Below are 1,138 nucleotides of genomic sequence, written 5' to 3' on the forward strand. Positions count from 1 at the left end.
GATCCACCCGCCTCGGCCTCCCAAAGTGCTGGGATTAGAGGAGTGAGCCAGGGCACCCGGCCAATATTGAATATTATTTAATGCTTAATGTCATGTGTTTATTTGCCATCTATATGTCCTATTTGATTAAATGTTTGTTATGCTTTCTGTACATTTTCTAATTCAATTGCTCTTCTTTTCCTTTTAGTATGACCCAAGTATCAGTGAACGTCTTGTGATCCTTCCTGTAATATAGCAAGACAGGCAGTTTCAGAAAGAACTAGCACAACAGTTTTTCTTCCACCTCCCTAACGTGTGGGAGGCTCCCTGTCTAGTAGGAGGCTTCCACAAGGAAGTTCCTAATTCACCTCCCTAATTGTGTATAGGATTTCCCACCTCACCCCTACCCACACAACTTATGATACAGGTGAAGGATATAAAACCATGACTTACTGTATCCTAGAGATGGTTTCTCCACAGCAGAGCAATGCCTTAACTGTGCTATCACCTGGCCCATCAGGTTCTTTGTCATTCTATAGGATTAGGGTCATAGGGAGCTGACACCGTGCTGATCTTGCTTTTGCTTTACTTTGTGTAAGTAGTAAACTGTCTAAATTCATTTAGATTCATTGTCTTTTACTAACTGAACCTACGGAAATGTGGCAAGCCAGTCCAGGAGTTACCACCATGCTGCTACTCACAATTGCTTGACCACTTGACAGTATTCATTAACCTTTTACCCAAATACCATTTTGCTTACCTATACTCACAGTAGCTTATGTCCCTGACAATAAACTTTGCTTTTGCAAATCTCTGTTCTACACTGAAACTAGAATGGCTTTTCTAAAATGCAAATCTGATATTGCCTCCACACTTAACATCTTTCAGTTGAAGATAGTAAAGATTTTCGTTTTACCACAGTTTCATTGACTTCCATGATTTGACTATTGACCACCTGTGACACCTCTTTTTTTTTTTTTTTTTTTTTGAGAAGGAGTCTCACTCTGTTGCCCAGGCTGGAGTGCAATGGCACAATTTCGGTTCACTGCAACCTCCGCCTCCCGGGTTCAAGAAATTCTCCTGACTCAGCCTACTGAATAGCTGTAATTACAGGCATGTGCCACCACACTTGGCTAATTTTTATATTTTTAGTAGACAC

The 1,138-nt window shown here is 40.9% G+C and overlaps 1 annotated feature.

Annotated features, from left to right (window-relative positions):
- Positions 212-816: an enhancer, noted in NCBI's record as "OCT4-NANOG hESC enhancer chr1:79262697-79263301 (GRCh37/hg19 assembly coordinates)". NCBI's record gives its function as "activates a minimal SCP1, AML or CMV promoter by ChIP-STARR-seq in naive H9 embryonic stem cells {active_cell/tissue: H9 hESC(naive)}" and the evidence as "EXISTENCE:reporter gene assay evidence [ECO:0000049][PMID:30033119]".

This window comes from Homo sapiens, chromosome 1 (genome assembly GCF_000001405.40).
Source record: "Homo sapiens chromosome 1, GRCh38.p14 Primary Assembly".
NCBI lineage: Eukaryota > Metazoa > Chordata > Mammalia > Primates > Hominidae > Homo > Homo sapiens.